This window comes from Homo sapiens, chromosome 12 (genome assembly GCF_000001405.40).
Source record: "Homo sapiens chromosome 12, GRCh38.p14 Primary Assembly".
NCBI lineage: Eukaryota > Metazoa > Chordata > Mammalia > Primates > Hominidae > Homo > Homo sapiens.
Window position 1 is genome coordinate 75,372,687 of NC_000012.12, and position 17,182 is coordinate 75,389,868.

At 38.1% G+C, this 17,182-nt stretch overlaps 1 protein-coding gene across 24 annotated transcripts in view, besides 1 other annotated feature; it reads right to left on the bottom strand.

Moving 5' to 3' along the window:
- The window catches only part of CAPS2 (calcyphosine 2), a 114,923-nt gene that overhangs the window by 96,708 nt on the left and 1,033 nt on the right, over positions 1 to 17,182 (bottom strand). The gene's annotated exons all lie outside the window — the stretch shown is intronic.
- Positions 3,798 to 4,369: an enhancer, noted in NCBI's record as "OCT4-NANOG hESC enhancer chr12:75770264-75770835 (GRCh37/hg19 assembly coordinates)". NCBI's record gives its function as "activates a minimal SCP1, AML or CMV promoter by ChIP-STARR-seq in naive H9 embryonic stem cells {active_cell/tissue: H9 hESC(naive)}" and the evidence as "EXISTENCE:reporter gene assay evidence [ECO:0000049][PMID:30033119]".

The window sequence follows — 17,182 nt, forward strand, 5'->3', positions numbered from 1 at the left end:
CAGCTCTGTAAAGTATTGTCACCTAATTGGCGTAATTATGACTTCAAAAGGCAATCCCACCACTCTATCAATCCAGCTGCTTCAGGATGATGGGGAACACGGTAAGACCAGTGAATTCCATGAGCATGAGCCCACTGTTGCACTTCTTTAGCCACAAAGTGAGTGCCTTGGTTAGAGGCAATGTTGTGTAAAATACAATTATGGTGGATAAGACATTCTGCAAGTCCACAGATGGTAGTCTTGGCAGAGGCATTTTGTTTGCAGATAGGCAAACCCAGATCCAGAGTACATGTCTATTCCAATGAGGATAAATCACTGCCCTTTCCATGACGGAGGCAGTCCAATGTAATCAACCTGCCACCAAATAGTTGTCTAACCACTCCAAGGAATGGTGCCATATCGAGGGTTCAGTGTTGGTCTCTGCTGCTGACACATTGGGCACTCAGCAGTGGCTGTAGCCAGGTCAGCCTTGGTGAGTGGAAGTCCATGATGCTGAGCCCATGTGTAACCTTCATCCCTGCCATGATGGCAACTTTGTTCATGAGCCCATTGGGTGATGACAGGGGTGTCTGGGGAAGAAGGTTGAGTGGTGTTCACAGAATGAGTCATCCTATTCACTTATTATTAAAATCCTCCTCTCCTGAGGTCAACCTTTGGTGAGCATTCACATGAGATACATATATCTTCAGTTTTTGACCAATCATAGAGGTCCATCCACATACCTCTTCTCCAAATTTCTTTGTCATCAATTTTCCAATCATGCTTCTTCCAAGTCCCTGACCATCTACCCAAACCACTCGCTACAGCCCATGAATCACTATATTATCATACATCTGGCCATTTCTCCTTCCAAGCAAAGTGTACAGCCAGGTGCATTGCTCAAAGTTCTGCATACTGGGGAGATTTCCCTTCACCAGCATCCTTCAGGGATACCAAGAAAGGGGCTATGGTGCTACAGCTGTCCATTTTGGGGTGGTGTCTGTATATCATGCAAAACCATCTGTAAACCAGGCCCTAGTCTTCTTTTCCTCTGCCAACTGATCATAGGGAACTTCTCATGAGGCCATCGATGCAGGCTGGGGGAGAGAAGGCAGGATGGCAGGAGTGGGGGCCATGGTCATTTGAGCCACTTCCTCATGTAACTTGTGCCTTCAGGATCTGCTTGCGCCCCATCATGTATATACCACTTCCATTTGATGATGAAATGCTTCTGTGCATGCCCAACTTTATGGCTAGATGGGTCAGAAAGCACCCAGTTCATGATAGGCATTTCAGGTTGCATGCTAACTTGATGACCCACAGTCAAACGTTCAGTTTCTACTAAAGCCCACTTACAGGCCAAGAGCTTTCTCTCAAAATGAAAGTAGTTATCTGCGGAAGATAGCAGGGCTTTGCTCCAAAATCCTAGGGGTCTCTACTGTGATTCACCTATGGGAGCCCGCCAAAGGCTCCTAACAACATCTTATCTGCCACTGACGCCTTAAGCATAATTGGATCTGCTGGGTCATATGGCCCAAATGGCAGAGAAGCTTGCACAGCAGCCTGGACCTGTTGCAGAGCCTTCTCCTATTCTAGACCCACACTCAAAACTGGCAGCCTTTCGAGTTACTCGACAGATGGGCCAGAGTAACACACCCAAATGAGGAATGCGTTGTCTCCAAAATCCAAATAGGCCCTCTAAGCATTGTGCCTTTTTCTTGGTTGTAGGAGTGGCCAAATGCAACAACTTATCTTTCACCTTAGAAGGAATATCTCCACAGGCCCCATAGCACTGGACCTCTAGGAATTTCACTGAAGTAGAAGGTCCCTGAATTTTAATGGGGTTTATTTCCCATCCCCTCGCATGCAAATATCTCACCAATGAGTCCAGTGTCTTTGCTTTTTCTCACTCATTGGGTCCAATAAGCATTATGTTATCAATGTAAGGGGCCAGTGTGATACCTTGTGAAAGGGAAAAGTGATATTTCTGCAAACAAGATTATGACATAAAGCTGGAGAGCTGATATATCCCTGAGGTAGGACAGTGAAGGTATACTGCTTGCTTTGCCAACTGAAGGCAAATTGTTTCTGGTGGGCCTTATGGACAGGAATCAAGAAAAAGGCATTTGCCAAATTAATGTCTGCATACCAGGTACCAGGATATGTGTTAATTTGCTTGAGCTATGAAACCACACATGGTACAGCAGCTGCAATTAGAGTCAACACTTGGTTAAGCCTAGGATAATTCACTGTCATTGTCCAAGATCCATTTATCTTCTGCACAGGCCAAATGAGAGAGCTGAATGGGGATGTGGTGGGAATCACCATCCCTGTTTCTTTTAAGTCCTTCATGGTGGCACTAATCTCTGCAATCCCCCCAGGGCTGCAATATTGTTTTTGATTTACTATTTTTCTAGGTAGAGGCATCTCTAATGGCTTCTTTTTGGCCTTTCCTACCACAATAGCCCTCACCCTATTGGTCAGGGAGCCAATGTGGGGATTCTGCCAGCTGCTAAGTATGTCTATGCCTATTACGCATTCTGGCACTGGGAAAATGACCACAAGATTCATCCAGGGACCCACTGGCCCCACTGTGAGTCAGAACTGAGCTAAAATTCCATTAATTACCTGACCTCCATAAGCCCCTACTTCAACTGGAGGACCACAATGATGTTTTGGATCCCCGGGAATCAATGTCAGCTCAGAGCCAATATCCAGTAGTTCCTGCAAGGTCTCATCAGTCCCCTTTCCCCAGTGCATAGTTACCCTGGTAAAAAGCCAGAGTTCTCCTTGGAGAAGGATGGGAAGAAGATGAACAGTACAAATTTTTGGTAGTATAGTGGGGTCCTTCTTCAAGGGGATCCAGCCTCCTCTTTATTCAAGGAGTTCTGCGTCTGAAAGTGGTTCAAGTCTGGAAACTGATTGAGGGTCTGTGATTTGCTATTTTTATAATACAAATTAGTCTTTTGTCCACTCGACCTGAAAGTTTTCTGCCTATATAAATTAAGTAACAATGCTGTAGGCTTCCTATCAATTTTACTTCTAGAAACACCGTAATTAATTAGCCAGTGCTAGAGGTCTACATGAGTCATACTATTCTGATTGCTGCTTTGGCTGTGCTGTCCATTATGGTAATTATGCCCACCTTGTCTTTGACGGTTGAGTGCCACTACTTGGCCCCTGCCACCTCGGGATCCAATTATTCCCATTGAATGTAAGTTTTCCAATTGAGTGACTGTGGTTCCCACTGTAAGATCTGGCATACGGAGAGGAGCAATTGCAGACTTCAAGGATGCAGGTACTCCCCTCACAAATCTGTTTTGCAAGGTATTGGTGAAGGGTATGTCTTCTGGATCCGCCCAGTTGGAATGAGTAAGTCTAAAGTGATGAATTCACTCTAGCATTTCAATCTCTCTAAGCCTTTGGATCCCTTCGTCTACATTAAACCAAGGGACATCTGGCATTTCCAGCTCACTCACAGTGGGCCATCGTTTGATCCATGTTTCAGCTAACCAAGCAAATAAACTATTAGAACTTTTTTTAACTCCCCAAGCTGCAACATTAAATGAAGAATCCCTGTTTAGTGGGCCCATATCAATAAATTCAGCCCGATCCAACTTTATGTTTCTTCCACCATTATCCCACACCCTTAATATCCATTCCCATACCTGTTCTCCAGATTTCTGCTTACATAAATTAGAAAACTCAAGCCATTCTTTTGGAGTGTAGTGCACTTCTTCATGGGTCACACCCTGAACCTTACCTCTAGGGGCCTGCTGGGACTTGAGTCTAATTATAGGTCTAGAAGCAAACAGCAGTGTTGAGGATGTGTCCTGAGGAGAATCAGCTTTGTCTTGCCTGGCAACTGCCTCAGGCAGTACAGGGTTAATCTCCTGAAAGGTGGAAAGGCTGATGGCAGTATGGATGCGAGAAGGGATATTGCTACCACCTCTGGCAAAAAAGGCTCATCAGAATTTAGGAGCTCAGTGCCCCCAGCCTCATCCCTCATCAGGGTCCTCCCACACATCCCCATTCCAAGTTGTAGGGTCCCATTCTTTTCCAATCAATGTCCTCATTTTAACAATAGATACCTGGTGAGGCTGAGCGTGCACCTTTCATTGCAGGTCAGCCACTCGCATGATAAGAGCTTTTGTCTGATTTTCCACAATTTAGCCCTTTGTCTTCAGGAGTTAAGACTCTCACTCAGGGCAATCTTAGACGATCTGAGGCTCAGTATGGGCTTCTGGAGCTGGGAATTAGAATCCCTGAGCTCATCATTTTCTTTCATCATTTTGTCCAGGGAATTTAGAAGCAACCAACCAACTTTATTATATTCCTTGATTCTCCACATATAGTTGAAGGTATTACGTATACAGTCACTAAACTCCTTGTTTCTCAAGAGCATTGAATCAGGAGTATCAATGCATTTATTTTGCATAACTCTTTAAACAGTTCATGCCAAGAACTATCAGTGCTCTCCATCCTATTAGAAGTAGAGTCCTTAGCATTTTTGAGTCTAATCAGATTAAGCAGCCAACTCCAGAAACCCCAAAACCAACTAAAGAAATCCATCCTTTAAATTCTGTTCCTCTAAAACCACTCCTGGTACCAAAATCTGTATTTGGCAGGGTTCCCTAAAGGGACAGAACTACTAGGATATGTGCATATATGGAAGGGGTTTATTAAGGATAATTTACTCACACAATCACAAGGTGAAATCCCACGATAGGCCATCTGTAAGTTAAGAAGCAAGGAAGCCAGCAGTGGCTCAGCCCAAGTCCCAAAACCCCAAAAGTCAGGAAGCCCACAATGCAGCCATCAGTCTGTGAACAGAGGCCCGAGAGCCCCTGGTAAACCACTGGTGTAAATCCAAGACTCCAAAAGCTGAAGAGGCGGGAGTCTGATGTTTGAGGGCAGGAAGCACCCAGCACAGGAGAAAGATGAAGGCTGAAAGACTCACAAGTCGGCTCATTCCACCTTCTCCTGCCTGCTTTATTCCAGCCACAGTGGCAGCTGACTGGATGGTACCTACCCACATTGAGGGTGGGTCTGCCTCTCCCAGTCCACTGACTCAAATGTTAATCTCCTTTAGCAACACTCTCACAAACACACCCAGGAACAATACTTTGCATCCTCCAATCCAATCAAGTTGATACTTAATATTAACCATCACAGATATATATATATATATATATGCGTGTGTGTGTGTGTCTATATATATATAAAATATCTGTAATATATATAATCATTTTAAATGTATTTTTAATAGAACTGAACATTGTTTTGTATATATTGTCAGATATCTAGGAATTTCCACAAAGCTGGGTGATTGATACTTTTTTTTCTTTTTGAGACAGGGTCTCACTCTGTCACCCAGGCTGGAGTGCAGTGGTGCAATTTTGGCTCACTGCAACCTCCACCTACCAGGCTCAAGCAATTCTCCCACCTCAGCCTCCCGAGTAGCTGGGACCACTGGCACGTGCCACCACGCCTGGCTAATTTTTGCATTTTTTTGTAGAGATGGGGTTTTGCCACGTTGCCCAGGCTGGTCTTGAACTCCTAAGCTCAAAGCAATCCACCTGCCTCAGCCTCCCCAAGTGCTGTGATTATAGGCATGAGCCACTGCGCCTGGCCGATTGGTGCTATCTTTTATAAAGAAGCCAAGTAGTTTTATATTTAAGTCTGCTTACATCTGTCAGTGTTCTCCAGAGAAACACAACCAATAGCGGAGAGAAAGGGGGAGAGGGAGAAGGAGAGAAAGAGGAAGAGGTGGAGTGGGAGAGGGAGAGGCAGAAAGAGATTTTTAGTAATTGGCTCACAGGATCCTGTGGGCTAACAAGTGGAAATTTTTAGGGCAAGCTGTCAGGATGGAGATTTAAGTGAGAGTTGCTGTTGCAATCTCTAGTCCAAATGTTGAAAACTCAGGCAAAATGTTTATGTTGCAGTCTGGAGGCAGGATTTCTTTTTAAGAAAAACTCAGTCTTTGTACTTAAGGCCTTCAACTGGTTGAATGAGGTCCACTCACATCAAAAAGGATAATCTGATTTACTTGAAGTCAACTGATTATAAATTTTAATCACATCTAAAAAAATATCTTTACAGCAACATCTAGACTAGTACAACCAAACAACTGGTCACTGTAGACCAGCCACATTGACACACAAAACTAACCATCACATTACTATTTGACATCATGTATATAGAGTCTTATATTTTTAGTAACGTAAGCTTTCACTATTTGTTTAACTATTGCATTGTTAAAATTCTCATTCATAATTACTTGCTTTTTAACTTGTGGTATGAAATAACCTAAAGGTAAATTCACATGTATGTAGAGTATATTTTTCTACCTATTGCTTTGTTTATCATTTTGTTATCTTCATGTATTTTAATTAAACATTTTCATTAATAATTAAAACATCCTCTGATTTTTAATATAATTACTCCTTTACCCCTTTATACTTATTCATTCAAGAGCATATGATTTTCTTTAAGTCAGATTCAAATTTAAAATTTAAAATTTTTTTACAGAATTATATTCCCTGATGAAGAGGTACTTGTCAGAGTGTTAAATTAGCACTGCTATAGGAACTTTCAAGTTGTGACAGTTCTCAGAAAATGGAGTTTATTCACAGGACTTTGGGTCCATGCTAAAGCTATGAGCAGAGGCTAGAAAGGCAGAGCATCTCCATCTTATTAGTGGGCTTTCCTCTTATTGTCAAGAAGAGAAAATTCTGGGCCAAGGACATGTCTTTTTTATTTCTTGTGATCTTAACAACAGCCTCTTGACAGGACATCTTGGGAAGCCTGTCATTGCTTGAGGTTCCTTTACTCTGAATAGACTGTTGATAGTGACTTTAAGTAACCCTCCTATTTCACTTAGTTTGGAATTGCTAGACAAACTGCTCTAGGCTTAGCTTTTTCAAACTACTGAGAATAGTTAACTCAAGATTTAAGTAGTGCATTTTTCAGGAGATTCTCTCGTCCTGCTAGGACAAGTTTGGGTTGTCAAACTCAAGTAAGTGTGTGTTCCCAGAAATTGCTGAATCACTTCAAAATATGAAACAAAGAAATCAGATTTGCCAATAATAGTTGGGCCAGTTTTCTACCTCTTGGGAGAAATGGTGAAGAGATAGTTTAAACAGTATTCTCTGTAGTTTATTATTATTATGATGCATCCCTATCAGTAAAAAAAAAAAAAAAAAAAAAAAATTGTAGAGTGACCAAAAATCCTAGTTTGCCTGAGACTGAGAGGTTTCCTAGAACATAAGAAAACATGCCCAGACTAGGACATTCTCTAACAAATGTGGAAGTGGTAACCCTTCGATTAAATCAAAAGGTACTATATGTACATTTAACTAAATGTATTATGTATATTTTTATAATAAAGTAATATATTACAAAATACATAACAATTGAACCTAAAAAGGATGAGGTAAAATAAATTTAAAAATAAGTGTTAAAGAGATGTTTATGCCAGGAATATAAAAAGAAACACTTCTGACGGTTTTATATTATTTGCTTGCATTTGTATCTTGACAACTATATTGAATCGGCAATTTCCTCTTAGCAATTTTTGCAGGATATGTGATCATTTTGAGATGGTTTGCTTAGTTAAAACTAGGTAATTTGAACTGTAATTAAATTTACCTGTGATCACTAACTGTACCAGGGGAAATAAATAAATTCCATTATCATCACTTCGAGTGGAACTCCCATTTTCTCTCAGGAAAGCAACATATCACTTGCCAATGTCCTCCAGACTAAAACTACCAGCAACTCACCTGTAGTTATATTCACTGGGTTTGCTTCTTGCAGCTAGGGAAACTACATTGATTATTATAAGAATAACTCAATAAATATTTATTAAGCATGCTCTCATGAAAACTAATATAAAAAAACATTTATTAAGCATGCATAATATCTGGCACCATGCTAAGTGTTAATAATTATTTTTAGTTCTTGTGAATTCAATGAGTGAAAATAAGAGTATTTAAATTTAATAATAGTAATACCTAACAGTAGGTATTACTATGCCAAGCACTAAGTGCCTTACATCTAATAACTTATATAATTCCCTCAATAATGAGGTAGATGCTATTAATTTTTATTCCTTGAACTACCAGTAAAGCTAAACATATTTTCATAAACTACATTCAAATTTACCAATATATTGTTTGAGAGTTATTAAGAAAGGCTAGGAATCTTATTTTCACCTTTGATGAAAAGATTACAGGAAGTTGTTTCAAACATATGACCATACTTCATATTGACCTAATGAATACAGAAGTAATGTACATTCAGGAGTCAAATTTTAATATAAATAGTCTCGGATTTATACTCAATTTTATGGCTCAGTCTTTTAGAGACTGATATGGTCTGGCTGTGTCACCACCCAAATCTCAACTTGAATTGTATCTCCCAGAATTCCCACATGTTGTAGGAGGGACCCAGGGGGAGGTAACTGAATCACAGGGGCCAGTCTTTCCTGTGCTATTCTCATGACAGTGAATAAGTCTCATGAGATCTGATGGGTTTATCAAGGGTTTCTGCTTTTGCTTCTTCCTCATTCTCTCTTGTCGCCGCCATGTAAGAAGTGGCTTTAGCCCTCTGCCATGATTGTGAGAACTTCCCTAGCCATGCGGAACCGTACTAAGTCCAATTAAACCTCTTTCTTTTGTAAATTGCCAAATCTCAGGTATGTCTTTATCAGCAGCATGAAAACAAACTAATACAGCGACAAACGATACTTTAGTTCCAGAGGTCCAAATTCCTCCTGGAATCTAGTTATATACACTCCATCATACCTATATGTGAAAAGAGTAGATGCAGGATGAATATTTCAACTACACTGTTATTTAGACTTTTTTTTTTTTTTTTGGTATATTACCTGTTCATTTTCTTCCTCTATTTTTCTAATGGTGCTGCTGTTATTCATTTTCTTAAGTGTTTTTTTTTTTTTTTTTTTGAGACAGAGTCTCGCTCTGTCACCAGGCTGGAGTGCAGTGGCACAATCTCGGCCCGCTGCAACCTCCGCCTCCCAGGTTCAAGCGATTCTCCTGCCTCAGCCTCCCGAGTAGCTGGGACTACAGGCATGTGTCACCATGCCCAGCTAATTTTTGTATTTTTAGTAGAGACAGGGTTTCACCATGTTGGTCAGGATGGTCTCGATCTCCTGACCTCGTGATCTGCCCACCTCGGCTGCCCAAAGTGCTGGGATTACAGGCATGAGCCACCACACCCAGCCTCTTATGAAATTTGAATGGCTCCCTGTGCATCTGGGATTTTAATCCTTGGACATTTATCTAGCAAATTTCTCAGTTGCCCTATTTTACATTTTAACGAAGTAAAGTCTATCTTTCTACCTTTCAAAGTTGGCTTTTATGTGTGGATCATTTTGCTTTTCTCCTTTAATGCTTCTCATGCACAATTATCTGAATCTTAAATTTGAATTATAGAAAAGATCAATCGAGTATGTAAAGAAACAATGAGAAAGAGTCAATAAAATAAAAACAATGTTTCTAATAACATCTATACAGAGAACAAAATAATACATTTTAGTATCTTCAGTCTTATCCCATGATCATTTTCAGTAAATGTAGATTAAAAATACATTTTTAAATTTGCTAGCTTTTATCCAAATCAAAAAGCATATGGAATTAGAGTATTATTTCCTTAAAATTTCAAGTGTAGACCAGGCATGGTGGCTCACGCCTATAATTCCAGCACTTTGGGAGGCCAAGGTGGGTAGATCACCCGAGGTCAGGAGTTCAAGACCAGCCTGGCCAACATGGTGAAACCCCATCTCTACTAAAAATACAAAAATTAGCTGGGTGTGGTGGTGCATGCCTGTAGTCCCAGCTACTCAGGAGGCTGAGTCATGAGAATCACTTGAACCCAAGAAGCGGAGGTTGCTGTAAGCCAAGATCATGCCACTGCACTCCAGCCTGGGCGACAGAGTGAGACTCCATCTCAAAAAAAAAAAGAAGAAGAATTTTAAAAAATAATTTCAAGTGCAGTGTACAAGTGTACAGAAACTGAGAACTTAAGGAAACTCACAAATCATCTGAGATAAGCAAGAGGCTTAAAGTTTATCCCAAAATTGCTCTTGTTTTTAAAATTAAAGCTATATCTGTTATACATGACAACAGAAATATTAAATGGGTATGCAAAAAGTATATAAGTAGCAGAATTTAAATAATTTAATGAAACCTTATTTTCCACATTCCTTGTAAAGAAATAAATGACTCTGTCAATACCCTCTAACAATTCCAATGCCCTCAGGAAACCGAATGTGATAAATTATTTCCATCACTTTCAATATAAAATAACTTAAAACTGTTTTGCCCCAAATTTCAAAGTTCAAAAATCTACAACCATTCAAACCTTATTAGAAAATGTACACAACCTGTGATTTAATACGTATTTCATGAAACTATGATTAAATAATTCTCATGTATTACATGCCTCTTTAAATTTTTTGAAAATATATATCATAGAATATAATGCATTAAAATTTTTTTATATGAAGTATATAATGGGAGCTGATTCACTGACAGATACGAAAGATTGAATATTTGCAGAACATTGTCAGCAAACCCCACTTCTTTCTACAGAAACCAAATGAGATGCTTTTGTGTGTCCTTCCATACTCCTATCTTAGTCACCTGGGCTTAAAATCTAGCTTTACAACACTAATCAAAAGAAACCAAGATAGCTATATTAATTTTGGCTGCAGCCAACTTCAAAACAAGGAAAGTTATCAGGATTAAACAGAGGCATTACATAATAATAAAGGGGTTAATTCTCCAAGAAGACATTACAATCCTTAATGTATATGCACCTAACAAGAGAGTGTAGAAATATATGAGACAAAACTGATAGAATGACAAGAAGAAATAGACGAATCTACTATTATAGTTGGAGACTTCAAAACACCTCTATCTGAAATGTATAGATTCAGCAGGCAGAAAATCAGTAAGGACATAGTTAAACTCAACAACAACATCAATCACCTGGATGTAATAAGACGTCTATACATTATTCGACAATAGCAGAATATATATTCTCGAGCTCATATGAAACATTTACCAAAATAAACTATATTCTGGACCATAAAACACACCTTAACAAATTTAGAATAGAAATCATGTAATGCCTGCTCTCAGACCACTAGTAATTGAACTAGAAATCAGTAACAGAATGATAACCATAAAATTCCAAAATAAGAGATTAAATGGCACACTTCTAAATAACACATGGTCCAAAGAAAAAATCTCAAAAGAAATTTGAAAATATTTTTAAATAAATGAAGATGAAAACAACTTGGCAAAATTTGTGGGATGCAGCAAAGCATTGCTTAGAGGTAAATTTGTAGCATTGAATAAATATATTAGAAAAGAAGAAAGATCTAAAATCGCATATGCTTTCACTGTTAGAAACTAGAAAAAAAAGAGCAAATTAAACCCAAAGTAAGCAGAAGAAATAATAAAAATTTGAACAGAAATCAATAAAATTGAAAACAAAATTAATAGAGAAAATTAATAAAATCAAAAGCTGGTTTTTTAAGGCATAAATAAGATTGATAAGCTTCTAGCCAAGCTAACAGGAAAAGGGAAAAGACATAAATTATCAATATCAGAGATGAAGGAAGGAACATCACTACAGATCTGATAAACATTAAAAGGATAACTGAGCAACACTGTGAACAACTCCACACCCACAAACTTAATAATCTAGATGAACGGGCCACTTCCTTGAAAGACACATCTCTCACAACTCATGCAAGAAGAAATAGACAATCTGAAGAGGCCTATTCCTATTTAAGAAATTTAATTGATAACTAATAACCTTCCAAAACAGAAAGCACCAGGCCCAGATAAATTCACTGGTGAATTCTACCAAAAATTTAAAGAAAAAAGTGATCGATTCTGTATAATGTCTTTCAGAAGATAAAAGCAAACAGAATACTTCTTAACTCATTCTATGAGGCCAGCATTACCCTAATACCAAAATCCTGCAAAAACATTACAAGAAAAAAAATACTACAGACCAACGTCTCTCATGAACATAGATGCAAAATTCCCCAACAAGATACTAAGCAAATTGAATTCAACAACGTATAAAAATAATTATATTACATGATGGAGTGGAATTTATTCCAGATTGCTCTGGTCTAAATATTTTCCCCTCCAAATTCATGTTAAAATTTAATTTCCATTGAGGCAGTATTGAAAGGTGGGGCTTTAAAAAGATTATTGGGTTATGAGGGCTCTGCCCTCATGAATGAACCAATACATTCATAGATTAATGGATTAATAGGATAATAAGTTAATGGATTAATGGGTTATCACAGGAGTGAGACTAAAGGGCTTAGTAAAAAGGGGAAGAGGGACCAGAGCTAGCATGCCCAACCTTCTTGCCATATGATGCCCTGCACTGCTTCAGGACTTTGCAGAGAGTTCTCAACAGCAAGAAGGTATTTCACCAAACGCAGCCCCTCAACCTTATGTTCTCAGCCTCCATAACTGTAAGAAATAAATTATTTTTCTTTATAAATTACCCAGTTTCAAGTATTCTGTTATAAGCATCAGAAAATGAACTAAGACATAGGTATACAAGCCTGGTTCAATTTGCAAATCAACTAATGTAATAAATCACATCAATAGGCTAAAGAAGAAAAATCATATGATTATATCCATAGATGCAGGAAGAGCACTGGACAAAATCCAGTATGAACTCATAATAAAAATTCTCAATAAACTAGGAATAGTAGGAAACTTCCCTGAGATATTGATAAAGATATCAATATTTACAAAAAAAAGCTATAGCTAACTGCATACTTAATGATGAGAAACAGGAAGCTTTCTCACTAAGATCAGGAACAAGGCACAGATGCCCCTCTCATCACTGCTCTTCAACTTCATACTGGAAATCCTTGCTAATACAATAAGACAAGAAAATAAAAGGTTTATAGATTGAGAAGAAATAAAAATGTCTTTGTTTGCCGATGACATAATTATTTATGTACAAAATCCAAAGAATCAACAAACTCCTGAAACTAATCAATGATTTTAGCAAGGTTGCAGGATACGAGGTTAATATAGAAAAGTCAGTTACTTTAAATTGCTTTCCTATATACTAGCCATGAACAAGTAGAATTTAAAATTGGAAACATAATAGCGTTTAGCACACACAAACAAATACTTAGTCATAAATCTAACAAAATATTTACAAGATCTGTATGAGGAACACTACAAAAGTATGATAAAATAAATCAAAGAACTGAATAAATGAAGAAATATTCCTTGTTCATAAATAGAATGAAGAAGGAATTTGTTCATTCTATTTCCTTGTTCATAAATATTCCTTGTTCATAATAGAATGAACAAGGAATTTGTTAGGATATCAGTAATTCCCAATTTGATCTATTGATTTAATGTAACCCCAATCAAAATTTCAGCAAGTTAATTTGTGGAGACTGACAAAATTATTCTAAAGTTTATATGAAGAGGCAAAAAAACCCTGAACAGCCAATACATTGGATGAGAAGAACAAGGTTGCAGGACTAACACTACGTGACATTAAGACTTACTATAAGGGTACGTGTCTCAGTCTGTTTTGTGCTGCTATCACAGAATATCTGATATTTGGTAATTTATTTTAAAAAAAGATCAATTTCTTACAGTTCTGGAGGCTAGAAAGTCCAAGGTTGAGGAGCTTGCATCTGGTGAGGGCCTGCTGGCTGTGTCATCTGATGGCAGGAGTTCACAGAGGAAGAGAGTGCATGCACATGTGCAAAAGAAGGGAGCTGAACTCACTCTTTTATCAGGAACTCACTCCCTCAATATTTTACCAATCCTGTGATAATGGCATTAATACAATTCATGAGGACAGGGCTCTCATGACCCAATCACCTCTTAAAGATCCCACCCCTCAATGCTGTTGTATTGGGGATTAATTTTCCAGCATATGAATTTAGGGGGACATATTCAAACAATAGCAAAAATACAATAATTTAAAAGGTATAGTATTGGTGAAAGTAGAAATAAATCCATGGAACAGAATAGAGAGCTGAGAAATAGAACAGCATAAATAAAGTCAACTGATCTTTGACAAAGGAGCAAAGGCAATATAATGGAGAAATGTAGTCTTTTCAACAAATGGTTCTGGAACAACTGAACGTCCATATACAAGAAAAAAAAACCAGTCTAAGCACAAACTTTATACCCTTCACAAAAATTAATCAAAATGGATCACAGACCTAAATGTAAATACAAAAGTATAAACTCCCAGAAGGTTATATAAGAGAAAATCTAGATGATCTTTAATTTGGCAATAACCTTTTAGATACAACACAAAAGGTATGATTTATGAAAGAACAAATCGATAAGCTGGGTGCCATTAAAACTAAAAATTTCTACTCAGCAAAAGACATTCTCAAGAGAATGAAAAAACAAGCCATGGCCTGGGAGAAAAATACTTACAGAAGATATATGCAATAAAAACTATTACGCACAATATGCAAAGACTCTTTAAACTCAACAATCGAAAAACAAACAGTTTAATTTAAAAATGGGTCAAAAACCTTAATGGACACCTCACCAAAGAAGACATACAGTACTCAAATAAGCATATGAAAAGGTGCATCATATGTCACCAGGAAAACGCACATTAAAATACCAATGAAATACCACTACACACCTTTTAGAATGGCCAAAATCCAGAACACTGGCAACACCAAATGCTGACAAGGATGTGGAGGAACATGAGCTCTCATTCACTGCTGGTGGGAATGCAAAATGGCACAGCCACTTTGGAACATAGTTTAGCAGTTTCTTAAAAAACTGAACATTATGCTTACTGCCATAGTCTGTTTAATGTTGCTCATAAGAAAATACCTGAAACTGAGTAAGTTATAAAGAAAAGGAATTGACTTCTTAGAATTATGGAGGCTGAGAATTTCAAAGTCAAGGGGCCATATCTGGTGTGGCCCTTCTTGCTACTGGGGACTCTGCAGAATCCCAAGGCAGCACAGAGTATCACATGGTAAAGGGGCTAAACTAATCCATTAACCCATTAATCTACGAATGGATCAATACATTCATGAGGACAGACCCAATCACTTCTTAAAGGCTCCACCTTTCAATACTGTTACATTGGGGATTAAGTTTCAACATGAATTTTGAAAGGGACAAATATCCAAACAATAGCATTTACTATAACATATAGTTATGATCCAGCAATCATGCTCATGGTATTTATCCAAAGGAGTTGAAAACTTATGTCTACACAGAAACCTGCACAAAGATGTTTATAACAACTGTATTCACATTTGCAAATTGATATGGTTTGGCTCTGTGTCCCCACCCAAATCTTACCCTGAATTGTAATAATCCCCACGTGTCATGGGAGAGACTAGGTGAGAGGTAACTGAATCATGGGGGCAGGTTTTTCCCGTGCTGTTCTCATGGTAATGATTATGTCTCATGAGATCTGATGGTTTTATAAAGAGTAGTTCCCCTGCACATGGTCTCTTGGCTGCCACCATGTAAGATGTCCCTTTGCTCCTCCTTCGTCTTCCACTATGATTGCGAGGGCTCCCAGCCATGTGGAACTGTGAGTTCATCAAACCTCTTTCCTTTATAAATTACCCAGTCTTGGGTCTGTCTTTATTAGTGGCATGAGAATAGAATAATACACCAATACCTAGAATCAGCCAACATGTCCTTCAGTAGCTACTGGAATAAAGAAATGTTGGTACATCCAGAAAATGAAAAATTATTCAGTGCTAAAAAGAAATTAGGTATCAAGCCACGAAAAGACATGGAAGAAATTTACACACATATTACTAAGTGAAAGAAGCCAATCTGAAAAGACTACATACTGTATGACTCCAACTATATGACATTCTGGAAAAAGCAAAACTATGAAGACAGTAAAAAAAAATTAGTAGTTGCCGGGGTTAGGAGGCAGGGAGAGATGAATAGTCTGAGCACCAGGGATTTTTAGGCAGCAAAACGACTCTATATGGTACTAAATGCTGGAAACATGTCATTATACATTTATACCAACCCATGAAATGTGCAACACCAAGAATGAGCCCTAATATACACTATGAACTCTGGGTGGGAATAATGGATAAATGTAGGTTCATCAGTTGTAAATGTACTACTCTGTTGTGGGATGTTGATAATGAGGGAGTTTATGTATGTGTGGGGACAGGAGTTACATGAGAAATCTCTGTACCTTCCTCTCAGTTTTGTTGTGAACCTAAAACTGCTATTAAAAAAGAGTCTATTTTTAGAAAAGGAATTGGTAAAAAAAACAAAACAAAACAAAAAAAACACAGAAGTAGCTCTACCACTCCCTGGCTGGGTGGCCTCAGGCAATTTGATTTCTCTTTTTCTCAGTTGTTTTTCCATCTGTTAAAGGGATAATAACTATTTCTTAAGATTTGTGTGACTTGAGTGAGTTGATATTGTCCAAGCATTTTAAATAGTGCCTGACACATTAAATATTTGTGAAATAGATTAAAAATAGTATTCACCACTCTGTATTGTAACTGTTTGATGATTCATCTGTGTCACCTTTAATTAAAAGCTCCCTGTGGATAGACTCCATGTCTAGCTTGTTCAGCATTTGAGCCTTTAGCTGGGCTGTGACACACAGGAAGTACCAAGGAAATATTTATTGAATGAGATGTCTAGCAGTGGAATGGGCTTCCCTGTTGGTCTAATTATTTAAGAAAAGGATGTGATGATCACCTGTCAGTGATGTTCCGGAGAGTATACCTAACACAGGAGGCTAGCAATAGTGGCTAAAATTTCTTCCAAATCTAAGATTGCATTATTCTATTTATACTTTTTCTTTAGCATTTTTTGCAGTCTAACAACAGTACCACCATAATAAAAGAATTGCATCTTTCAGCACTTGCCACCTTCACCCTTAAATAGGTTCTAGCCATACTAAAATACTTCTAGCGTTTAGGATCTTCCTCTCCTTAGGCACATTACATGCTTTTCCCTTTGTTTAGAATGCTATCTTAGACTTGTCTGTTTCACTTTCTGTATACAATTTCCAGAAAGGCTTCCCTGCTCCTCCACAAGAGTACCAAGCAATAGAATTTTGGCTTTGTATTTATCACGTTTTAAATACTGCCTGATTGCTAATTCACTAAATTGTAAGCTGCTTGAAAGCTGGA